At 37.1% G+C, this 12,697-nt stretch overlaps 1 protein-coding gene across 16 annotated transcripts in view; it reads left to right on the top strand.

Moving 5' to 3' along the window:
* The window catches only part of EPS8 (EGFR pathway substrate 8, signaling adaptor), a 169,255-nt gene that overhangs the window by 63,465 nt on the left and 93,093 nt on the right, over positions 1–12,697 (top strand). For 3 of the 16 annotated variants that reach the window (NM_001413832.1, XM_047428497.1, XM_047428494.1), the window contains exon 2: positions 12,599–12,658. The exons of the other annotated variants lie outside the window; for them this stretch is intronic. Coding sequence is in view for 1 of the 3 variants with exons in the window: in XM_047428494.1 (XP_047284450.1) it covers positions 12,620–12,658 (39 nt within the window). In the remaining 2 variants the exon portion in view is untranslated. The remainder of the gene's footprint in view (positions 1–12,598; positions 12,659–12,697) is intronic. 16 annotated transcript variants of the gene reach the window in all.

Here is a 12,697-nt window from a genome sequence, read left to right as displayed (position 1 = left end):
CTATACCTGTATTTGTAAAACAGAGAAACCTAAAGGCCAAATTCTGCATCTTATTTTTGAACCAATCAAGCAGCCTACTGATGTGAGACAAATTTCAACAAATGCTTAAGACACACATCTGATAAATATATAATAAAACTTGTATGTTGACAGAGCTTGTAAATTTTTAAAATTCATATTTTTCCATCTTTTTGTTCATTTCTCTGTTATTTGATGATGATGAGTCAGGATTCTTTTAATGAGATAATGAGATCTTTACAGGTCTAATGTCCAAGGTTGATACTGTGGTGGTGAGTGAATCACCATATGATGAAGACCCATTGTGTCACCGTATTTTAGAATTTTTCATAAGGTAACAAAGGTATGAGAATTAGGCAGGACAATGTAAATGAAGTGCCGTGTAAACTACAAAATGTATGTGCACACCCATGCAGATTTTTTTTTTTTTTTTAGTTTTTTTCCTTTTTTTTTTGAGACAGGGTATCACTATATTGCCCAGGCTGGATTTGAATTCCTGTTCAATTCTTCTGCTCAAGTGATCCTCCTGCCTCGGCCTCCCAAGTAGCTGGGATTACAGGTGTGAGCCACTGCAACCAGCTACATGACTTTTCCGGAGATCTCTTGAGGGTGATTTCAGGTGATACACAGTTAGTGGTATGAGATAAAGCACATTGCTGCTAAAATTCCAGACAGTCCCCATAAACGAGTAGAAATTGCTTCAGTTATCTAGCAGGTAAGTATCAGATTTGCTGGCTTATCCTGATTTATTGACACAGATCTGTGGACTGGTGGTATCCTATTGGAATGCAGAATGACATTTACCTTGAAAAAGAAAGTGGATTTTTTTTTTTCCTAACAAGATACCTAGGAGTGAGTGATCTGTGGATGTTGAATTTTTTTCATTGTGACATAATTCAAAATGACAAAGTGAACTGAAGACTTATTATTTTCATGCATTGTATGCTATTTTAAGTTTTGGAGAAAAGAACTTCGGAGATCTTATTAGTCTGTTTTTACACTGCTGATAAAGACATACCCAAGACTGGGTAATTTATAAAGAAAAAGAGGTTTAATGGACTCACAGTTCCATTTGGCTGGGGAGGCCTCACAATCATGGCAGAAGGTGAAAGGCATGTCTTACATGGTGGCAGGTACGAGAGAATGAGAGCCAAGTGAAAGGAAAAACCCCTTATAAAACTGTCAGATCTCTTGAGATTTATTCACTACCATGAAAACAGTATGGAGGACACTGCCTTGTGATTCAGTTATCTCCCACCAGGTCCCTCCCATGACATATGGGAATTATGGGAGCTATAATTCAAGATGAGATTCCGGTGGGGACATAGCCAAACCATATCAGAGATTGAAAAGTTTTAAAAGTAAAGTGATATCCATACTTACAGATATTGAGATGTCTGTAAACAGTCTCCCTTACAAAATAGAGCAATGCTAAGATAATTTGTGTGGGAGATATGCATATGTATATCGTATGTCTTTCTAAAATATTCATACATAAGACTCATACAAAGTGACTATTTAATATGTACTTATTATACCATAACAGTCAAAATTTGAAATAGAACTGATCTGAATTAGTTTATATGATTTGACAACACATAAAACTTTGATAAACTTTATTCATATTAAGAAAAGCTACTTTTTCTTTCTGGGTCTAAGTCTCATGTTTACCTAATGTTGAAGTCTTTGAAAGAAGACTTTTTGGTGATATTTTACATATACCTTATACATAAAGTACACAGTTTATCCTGGGAGTCTGAGATGAGGATTGAATATTGACATCAAATTCTGAAAGTTCATAAACCTTAGGATTCACTGACCCAAAGGTGATGTTTTGATTTCATATTAAGAAGCCATAGAATTTTTCTGTTAAGTCAATGAATTCTAGAATATTCAAAGTCAATAAAAGATAAAGAATAATGACAGATGTCTCTATATAAATGATGTAATGATGCTTTTGTACTAGTATAGTTAACCTGTTGGTTATCTTCAAATTTAATTCTGTATTTACAGTAAAAATTAAGGTGACCTTCTGGGATTTGAGAGGTAGCATGAGGTTAGTGGGTAAACTTCATCTTCTTAAGTATAAAATGACTTTACTTAAAAGTTGATCAAAAACTTTTGGTTTTGGATTAAGTATAATTAGAATAATCTATGGAGGTATACAGTAAGGATTACCACTTCATGAGATTTATAAAAAGATAAACAGATGTGGTTTTTAACTTAAGGATGTTATTGAGAATACAGAAAGACATAATCTATAACCTTTTTTGAAGTGTAGATATAGAATAGGTCTACGTTAATTTTTTAAATTAGAACTTGACAGTGAAAACATAAATCCAAGATGTATGTATATTTTGGTCTTCAGGAAAAATCTTATGCATATTTGTACCTTATACATATACAATTAAAAATCCACGCTGATGACTAACAAATGATTCCTATTGATCTAAAAGGAAAAAGATGAAAAATCAGCAAGAAAATATTGAAAACTTTAAGAGGAATGGTTTTAAAGAAAGGATACCATCACTACTAAGCAAAGAAATAGTAATTTTTTCCTCTATCAGATTGAAAAAGATATATATATATTTTTTTGAGACAGGGTCTCACTCTGTTGCTCAGGCTGGAGTGCAGTGGCACAATCATGGCTTACTGCAACTTTTACCTCCCAGGCTCAAGTGATTCTCCCACAGCAGCCTTCCGGATAGCTGAAGCTACAGGTGTGTGTCACCATACCCAGCTAAGTTTTTGTATTTTTTGTAGAGAGGAGATTTCACCATGTTGCCCAGGCTGGGTTCAAGTGATGCATCCCCCTCAGCCTCCCACAGTTCTGGGATTATAGACATGAGCCACCCTGCCCAGCCTTGAAAAATGTTTTTTTTTTGTTTGTTTTTTTTTTTCAAACAAGTGATATCCAGTGTTTTGGTGAGAGTGTGAGATAGCAGAAAAAAAAATCTACTGGTAGCTGGGTGCTGTAGTCTGAATGTGTCGCTCCACAATTCATATTTGAAACCTAATCTTCGATGTGATAGTATGAAGAAGAGATGGGGCCTTTTGGAAGGTGATTAAGTGATGGAGAGCCCTCATGAACGGGATTTGTGCCTTAAAAGAGGTGAGAAGGAACCGTTTGCCCCTTCTGCCATGTGAGGACACTGGTAGAAGGAAGGCACCATCTTTGAAGCAGAGAGCAAGTCCTCACCAGACACTGAATCTGCTGGCGCTTTGATTTTGGACTTTCCAGCCTTTGCTGTGAATGGCAGCACATTACAAATTACCCAGCATAAGGCATTTTTGCTATAGCGGTCTGAATGCACTAAGACAGAGTGTAAGTTGGTGTAACATCTCGGGAGGGAAATTTTGACAGTGTATTAATAATTTAGAGATGGGCATATCCTTTTACATAGCATCTTCTTTAGAATTTTACATTAAGACAACATTCTGGAATAGGCATAAAGATTTATGTTCAAGGATGGCAGTTGCAGATTGTCTTTTATTTTTCAGTTGCAGATTTTTATGATAAATATTAGCAATGTACTACTCAAGGCTCAAGGAAAGATTAGTTACATAATTTTTGGGGGGGGTAATTGTTTAAAATAGGCTGTAGAACAAGCTTGTCCAACCTGAGGCCCAGGACAGCTTTGAGTGCGGCCCAACACAAATTCATAAACTTTCTTAAAACATTATGACTTTTTCTTGCGTTTTTTTTTTTGTACCTCATCAGCTATCGTTAGTGTATTTTATGTGTGGCTCAAGACAATTCTTCTTCTTCCATTGTAGCCCAGGGAAGCCAAAAGATTGGACACCCCTGCTGTAGAAGGCTTCAATGAGAAATCATTCATAGTGCAATGGTCTTTTTGTTGTGACTTCTCAGGATACTTTGAGTTAAAAGATTATAAAACCAGACAGACAGTAGCCCCCTTTGAAAAAAAAAAGTATGTATGCATTAAAAAAAAACTAGAAAAATTTATAAAATGTGAAAGCATTTGTCTCTGGCTAGCAGGATGACTCATGATTTTTGTTCTTAAAATAGTTTTGTATGTTCTAACTTTCTGCCATGGATTTACTTTTATGATCAGAAATAATATTTATAATATATAATAAAAATTTTAAAAAGTCTGATATTTGGTGCTGAATGAAACACTAGAAATCCTGTAGGCACTTCTTATTTCTATTTGTTGTAGTAAAGTGTGCTTTTATTACTTTTAAGTTTTCAGGAAAATCCTTTTAACTTGATGCGCAAGACAAAGGCAAACAAGATTGTTGTCTTTCACAAGAAATGGAGGATAAAATGTACTATTCCAAAGAAGGAAAACTGATGGGCTGAGATGTAGAGCAGTGTGCCTTCTAACTGGAGAGCTGCCTGGGGGTTTGGAGATGAAATTTTTTATCTATTGGTTCACAGAACCGGCTGCTTCCAGACGATTACTTTTTTGTTGAGCCCCACAAACCTCGTTCTTTTAGCTGAGTATTATGTAGTTTTTCCAGTATTGCTTTCTTTCCCTCATTACATCTAGGAAAACAGTTTGGAGATGAGCTACTGGAGTTAAAAAAATCTATTTGGTTTTATTTGTCAATTAAAAAATCTATTTGGTGTGTGTTAGGTTTATTTTTGTGAGTGGGGAATGGCATATGACTGTATATTACAGACATGGGTGGGTTTCCTACAGATTGTGAATGGGAAAAGTTTGAGTTACTCTGTTGTGGTATTTGTGTTATAGTATTTTCTTGCTTTCTTTTCACTCTGAGTATATGTGGACATATTTTTGATTGCCTTCACCTATTATGTGCCAACTATTGTACTAAGTGCTGGGGATACAGTGGTAAACAAAGGCTGGCCCTTGCCCTCAAGAAGTATGTATTCTAATGGGACAGACAGGGCAAAAATAAATGACATGCAACATCACCAACTGTAGTAAGTGGTAGGGAGAAAATAAAAAATAAAAGCACACAGAGATTAATGCAAGAGGGTGGGTTAGGTTTGGGGATAGATAATCTCATACAGCACTTTAAATATCTGGGTGTGCTTCTCTGAGCAAGTGGTAGATAAACAGGCTTAAAGGATGAGAATTGCTAAGAAATGGAGAACTTGAGTTTCAGGCAGAGGGAGCAACATGCCCAGGGAGTCCACAGCTGGGGCAAAGTGAGCAAGGAGGTCATAGAAGAAGGAAAGAGACAAAACTGAAAAGTGAGGCAGGGGACAGATCCTAAAAGGGCTTTTAGGTGACAGTAAGAGGCTTTGATTTTACTATGACTGCATTCAGACAACACTGAAGCGTTCTAAGTAAATAACACGACCAGATTTAAGGAACACCCCATTTGTTGATCACTAAGTGTATGATTATTTGTAACACTTAGCAGAATGTGACTGTCAATGGACCTCTTTTACAGTATGCTTTGCTTACATCAGTAGTGTGACCATTATGTTCTTAGTCACCCTGGAGTAAAGAAGAGTTATTGTTGGGCATGATGGCACATCTGTAATCCCAGCTACTCAGGAGGCTGAGGCAGAAGGATTGCTGTAGCCCAGGGGTTCAAGTGTAGCCTAGGCAACATAGGAAGACCTTATCTCTTAAAAAAAGAGGTTACAATTTATGTTACCTCATCTGATCCCAAGTGTTATCTAGCAAGGGGGAAATATTTGAATTACTTAGAAAACTCAGATGTGATTTTTTAAATCTACCATTTATTACTTATAATTAATCAGGTACTATGCTATACTCTTTTCATATATTATTTGAAAATAATATGTGAAGAAGATACTATTATTTTCATTTTATAGATAAGCAAACAGATTTAGTAATGTGGCCAAAGTTGTATAGCCTTAAAGTATGGAGTTGGGATATGAGTCTGTTTTGTACATGAACCTGAATTCTTTACAACTACATTCTACTGCCTATACTGATGATTTGTTTGTCACATAACACTAAATTGTATAGCCAGGAAAATAATTAAGGTTTAGATTTCAAATCCATGGCTTTTTGCCCATAACATACCACCTCTTGACGTAGTTGGTTTAATCTGTTTTTCATAGCCCCATGTCAAAAATAGAAGGGGATTAGATACCATTTTTAGAATTACAATTAAGAGGTCTTAAACTATAATCTAAATAAAGATTAAGACTTGGTTAGGAGAATAAGCATTTTATCAATTGAAAATAAACTTGAAAGGGATCCTTAATATTTTGCCCACCCAGGGTAAACATTCACTGCACTAACAATTTTCAGCCAAAGGCCCCAGCTAAATTCTGCCACCTGGGCAAACTCTAGTCCAATGATATTCAAAGAAATTAAACCGTTTTAAAAACTGATATGTCCTCTGGCAATTTAATGTGAGTGTATCACTGTGGCATTCAGCTTCAGATCATGTGTTGCTGTAATATCTTCTCTTTATATGACTGCATTTCTGTTGTGTGTCACTGACACGGCTTGTCTGATTTCAAGCCCTTTCTATCACTCCTATTTATTGGTAACATACAAGCTTCAAGGATCATTTGATGTGCAAATTTAATTGCAGGTTTTACTTTTAAAGGATGACATAAGCTATATCATTTTAACAACTGTTTGCACAGCTTTTTCTAAACTGCTACTCAGAAAACAGGCATTTTTATTCTGTGTATTGTAATGCTTCCTGACTTGTCAAGGCTGCTTGCTCAGTAATTAACTTATATGTAAGTATGTATGTATGTGTGTATATATATATATATGTATGTTTATATATACATATATATGATGATGTTTTGCAGTGCTTCAATAGGTACATGCTTTGGAATTAAACTTGGGCATTTCCCCTGATTTTTTGATAAGAGGACACCTTATCAGCATTCACAGTTCCTTTTTTGTATTTACTGATTTGCCCCTTTCTCTTCCTTCCTTCCTCGCTTCCTTCCCATTGCTATATAGCACATGATTATAGATAGGAGAGGTTAAGTCTTGCTACCTAGCTAATGTGATAATTTCCTGACAGTATTTCAGAGTTAAGGTAAAAATACTCCAGAAAGGATTGATACTTCTGTAAGAAATGCCTTTTTTTTTCTCTAAATGGCACTTAAGAACCCGGAAGCACTCATGATTTTAATAAGCTGAAGTAGTCCTGTCGTTTTGTTTAGAGTTTAACTTTTTGTGGAAAGGACAGGCTTTGAGGACATTGTAGGTTTAAAAATGCGTTTTACAAGGACCTTCTAGACAATTCTTTTGATATACATTCACCAACATGTCCAGCTAGCTGATTTGGTAGAATATGAGACTCTTGATATGCACTCATCAAGCTAATTACAGGGGATGGGAGTTCCATTTGAGCCAGGTGAAATGAGGAAAGTCTAAGTAAAATCTTCATAATTATGGGAAATATTGATACTACATGCCAAAAGCTTTCATTTTCCCTGCTTCAATTCTTTGTACCTATTGTGTTTCAGCAGAGTCTGTATTTAAATGGGAAATTTTCAGCAGAAATGGGAGGCTCTATAAATATTGTTATTCAATAATTTGTAAGGTGAATTTGCAGATGTCCTCATAGTGACTCATAATTTTTCCTTATTCGTCATTAGGTTTTGTGACTATTTGGTTATTTCTTTTTTCAGAAATTTTATGTTGAAAAGTGTAAAACTGCTAGTTACTGTATTTTAGCCAAAATCTAATTAAATAGGTTTTCTCCTTTTAAATTTGAATTAGGAAAATGTTCTGGGGTATTGGATCTGAATGAGACTGTACAAATTGGTCTCATTGGTCTCATTTTACAGGTGAGGAAGCAGAGGCTGAGAGAGGTTAAGTTACTCACCAAAGGTTATAGAGCTATTAAGTGGCAGACTTGGTGCACAAACACAAGCTTTTGGTTTCCTTGTGCTGAGGTCTTAACACTTTACATCTAATCTTTAGTTATAGGACATGAAAGGAAATGAGAAATCACTTTTTCCACCAATTTTTTTGTTTCTTGCTGTCTTTTTAACTGAAATTGCCAAATAAGATCATGTCTTATTGGAGCTGTACAGTGATTTCTAGGTTGAAAGTGACATTTAAAATCCATAATCAAATAAGTTTGTGTGGTGTTTCCCTTAATGCATTCCTAAACATTGCCAATTTAAGGCAAAACTACCATTTTGTTCATTTATATTCCCTGTTACATAATTTTGCGGTTCATTTTTCTCAAATCAATATTTTCCTAACTTAGACTACTAATGCCATCTATACACTTAATTTAAGTATGGTCTCACTCTTCTAAATAACTTCTGGAAAGAACGTATAATATTGGTCCTGCTATTTATATTTATTCATGCCAAGAAGTGTCCATTTCATTTCTTTTTTCTTTCTTTCTTTCTTTTTTTTTGAGATGGAGTCTCGTGCTGTCACCCAGGCTGGAGTGCAATGGCACGATCTCGGCTGACTGCAACCTCTGCCTCCGGGGCTTAAGCAATTCTGCTGCCTCAGCCTCCCAAGTAGCTGGGATTACAGGCACGTGCCACCGCGCCCAGCTAATTTTTGTATTTTTAGTAGAGATGGGGTTTCACCATGTTGCCCAGGCTGGTCTTGAACTCCTGACCTCAGATGATCCACTTGCCTCGGCCTCCCAAAGTGCTAGGATTACAGGTGTGAACCACTGTGCCTGGCTCCCTTTTTTTGTTTTTTCTACCTTTAATCCTAGCTCTACAGCCAAACAATAGCTTCAACCCATACTGACTCATTGAATGTTTTAACAAATTCCCATCATTTACATGCCAGGCATGTTTGTCCTTTTGCATGACTATAATTGTAGTTAGATATGATTCTCCCAAAGATAAGTCATATTGCATCTCCTGTCCCTCTCCAGGTAAATTGTTAAAGCATTTGATTGATCATTGTATCCATACAAATTTAACTAACTTAGCATGTATGTAATTGAAATTTGATAATATGTAGTTTAGAGTATTTCTTTAGAAACTTCTTTTGGGTTTCTTACTCTCACTGAAAAAGGTATTAAAGTTAGGAGAAGGATTGGTTTAGAGAAGACAAAGCAGATAGTGGATCTTATAAGAAGAAGGAATGAAGGACCGATGAGGAATTGGGGTTGAACAGTACAGGAACTGAAAGTGAAATTTTGCTTATACTTCCAAGATGAATGGATTGTGACATTGTTGATCGATTCTGCTTGGTTGTCCTAACAATTTATGTAAGTGACCTCACATCATTTTGGATCTGATGATCTTAGCTTACAGATTATGTTACAGCCTATTTTGTCTGCCTCTATATTTGTAGTTACAAAGTATGGGAATGTAGGGCAAGGTTACCAGTAAAGATGTGTGTGTGTGCAATTTCCAGCTTCAAGAGCTTTGGAAAAAAGTGCAGTAACCAAATCTGTCACATTCGAAATATATAATATTTCCTGTGACTACTTCTGGTAAACTGCCCTATCATAGAAAACTGAAGGAATCAGCAAATACCCATGAGCTTTGCTTAGAATTGTTCCACTATCATTGATATCCTGTGTATGGATATGAATGACTATGGATGGTTTCAGTCCATGCCATTTTTTTAATATTTGGACAATGATTTGTCATATATCAGTCTGTGCCAGATTAGCCTTTCATAAGACTTCATTATCATCTTTACTGATAGATAATTCAGGAGCCAAAGGTATATCAGAATTTTGTTTAACAGCAGGGTATTAACTGTACCTGTTAACTTACTATTAGGAAACTGTCTGTTTCCAAGCAGCAACATTTTTTGGCATTTGGCAGACCTATGGACCATTTTTAAGAGACAGTATCTTAAAAATGACAGGGATTGGAATTGGGATACTCTCTCAGATTTCTTTCAGCTCTCAAGTTTAGTGATACTTTGAAATGTTGGGTTGGAATTTTATGATTATAGTGTTTATTTTGATTATATTCTTCGTTTTGAAGGGTTTTCTTCTTGCTACTTTTAATACTGATTTTCTCATCGAGGAATTATATTAGTACTTTCTGCTGTTCTCTCCATTGGTTTCAAGACTTAATATTATTATCCTCTTCTCACTCCCTTCAGTTTCTGTGTCCTGCCGTGTTTTTTTTTTTCCCTAATGTCCTTCTGTTGCAGTTTGGGTTCCCCAGAAAGCAGATTTTGAGATGGAAATTAGTGTTCGGGAAAGTTTATTAGAAAGTGTTCTTGGGGGCCAGGCATGGTGGCTCACGCCTGTAATCCCAGCACTTTGGGAGGCCGAGGCCAGCAGATCACCTGAGGTCAGGATTTCGAGACCAGCCTGGTCAACATGGTGAAACCCTGTCTCTATTAAAAACACAAAAAATTAGCTGGGCACTTTGGGAGGCCGGCAGATCACCTGAGGTCAAGATTTCGAGACCAGCCTGGTCAACATGGTGAAACCCCATCTCTATTAAAAACACAAAAAATTAGCCAGGCGTAGTGGCGCACACCAGTAGTCCCAGCTATTCGGGAGGAGAATCACTTGAACCCAGTAGGCGGAAGCTGCAGTGAGCCAAGATTGTGCCACTGCACACTCCAGCCTGGGCGGCAGAGTGAAACTCCATCTCAAAAAAAAAAAAAAAAGAAAAGTAAAGAAAAAAAAAAAGAAAGCGCTCTTGGGATCAGCCCCTGTGGACGAAGGGAAGGAAGGAAACACTGTTGGGCCAAGGGGGATGTTGGGCTGCCATGTAGTCTCAAATAAAATCTGACCCTGTGGGGTGCTTCAAAGCTGAGAGGCCACCTCACCCTTGTCCCCAGTTGGAGAAAGGGGACCAAGGCTTTGTCTTCCACATGTCAACCAATCTTTGGATGTGGGCTTCCCTGGGAAGGGAGTGTGATACTGGGTGAAGTGAGGCCATCCTGAAAGAGCTGATAGTTGAAGGTTGTCTGCAGGCAGCACCACAGCAGTTGGGGAATCAGTCCTTCAGTCCTGAAAGGAGATGTGGGTGGCATGTCACAGTTTCCATTCAATCTTTTTTGCAGGGGTGCTGGAGATGGGAAGGAATGGCCCAGGGGATGGGTCAGAATTTTCAGGAATAAGGAGTTGCAGCATACAGTGGTCAGGAGCTTGAGAGATGGTAGAGAACAAAAGTGGATGTAGAATAGGTTCTGCCAGGCAATTGACTTCTGACATTGACTATTGCTTTTCTAAATACATTTTAAAAATTCTATTTATAGTGATGCTTTTCACTTTTAAAGTTATAGAAACCTGATGAAAACTCTGAGTGCACTATACAGAGAATGTATTTTTGTTTTTTACCCATTTCCCATTTGCCCCAAGAATACTGCACTGGCAACAAGCAGCACTTTTTTATTCTAAGTGAGAAATGGGTTAAAGAGATGGGTCCTGCTCAGTCACACAGGCTGGAATACAGTGGCGTGATCATAGCTCACTCCTGGGCTCAAACTCCTGGGCTCAAGCAGTTCTCCTGTCTCAGCCTCATGAGCATCTAGGACTGCTGGTGTGTACCACCATGCTTGGCTGATTGCTGAATTTTTTGTGGAGATGGGGTCTTGGTATGTTGCCCAGGCTGCTCTTGACTTCCTGGACTCAAGGGATCCTCCCACCCGTGGCCTATCAAAGAGCTGGGATTACAGGTGTGAGCCACTGTACCCAGCCTGTGCCATATCTTTATTCAAATATAATTTGGTTTTATAAAACATACAGATTTTTTAGTTTTATGTTCTTTATAGGCTCTTTTTTCTCTCTCCATTTCTTTAATAATTTAAATATACTTTTTTGGTGTCTTCATATTAAAAATCAGTTGAGCACTCAATTTTCTGTTTGGCATATTTGTTAATAATCACAGTAAATCATTTTCTCCATATTTTGTAATCTCTAAATTTATAAGCTCATCTTCATTGGGGATTGTTTTTTGTTTTGTTTTGTTTTGGTTTGGTTTTTCTACCCAAAGAAATCCCGTGGGGCCTTGTTTACCTCTCATCACTTTAAAATAGTTTTGTGTTTGTTTCTTCTAGATACTTTACAGATTTCACTGGCCCAGGATCTAATTCCTTAGATTGGAGATTCTTAATTTTTTTACCTAGGAGATTCTCATACAAATAAGATTCACATTTCAAAACTGTTGTGTCATAGGTTTAGGATTTTAATTTCTTATAGCATTTATAGCATTTCCCCTGTCCTCTTCACCCAGATTCTCAGAGACAAGCTCTCTTAAGTCTTAATATGACTATGAGTGAATTTCTCCTCCCCGACACCATTTTTTAACTATGAGGATAGACCTTTGAAGACAGCCCTGGTTTTCTGGAAGAATCTCAGTACCAACTTTATACCTCGTGTGCCCAGGGCCTCCCCTTCTGTCCCTGCATAAGTATCAGGACTGCTTTAGAGTTGTGAAGGTTTAATGGGGCTGGAAATCCAGCAGAGTGCTTTCTCTCTTGAGGGAGCACTTTCTTCTGTTCTTTCTCCTTCAAGAGGCATCTTGTTACCAATTTCAATCTATACTTAAGTGCTGAAGAGACTCCAGTGATTATCCCCATAGCTCCAGTGTTGGCCACAGCTGACAGTGTATGCTTTTGTGCTTACTATTTTGGCCATCAGTTCTGGCTTTGGTTTAGCATCAGGGAATTATCTTTATTGCAAGTAAAGCTATGTATTTAATTTTGTTACACTTATTTTCTTCTTTTCTTAGTGTCTGTAGTGGGAAGTCTTCATGAGCTCAGTTGGCCATATTTCTGTACCTGGAATTCCCGTAAGTTACTTATTAACTACCGTTTCTCAGATTCTACCT

This window comes from Homo sapiens, chromosome 12 (assembly GCF_000001405.40).
Source record: "Homo sapiens chromosome 12, GRCh38.p14 Primary Assembly".
NCBI classification, from domain to species: Eukaryota; Metazoa; Chordata; class Mammalia; order Primates; family Hominidae; genus Homo; species Homo sapiens.
The sequence above is the reverse complement of the archived record's forward strand: the minus strand, read 5'-3'. Positions and strand labels throughout refer to the sequence as shown.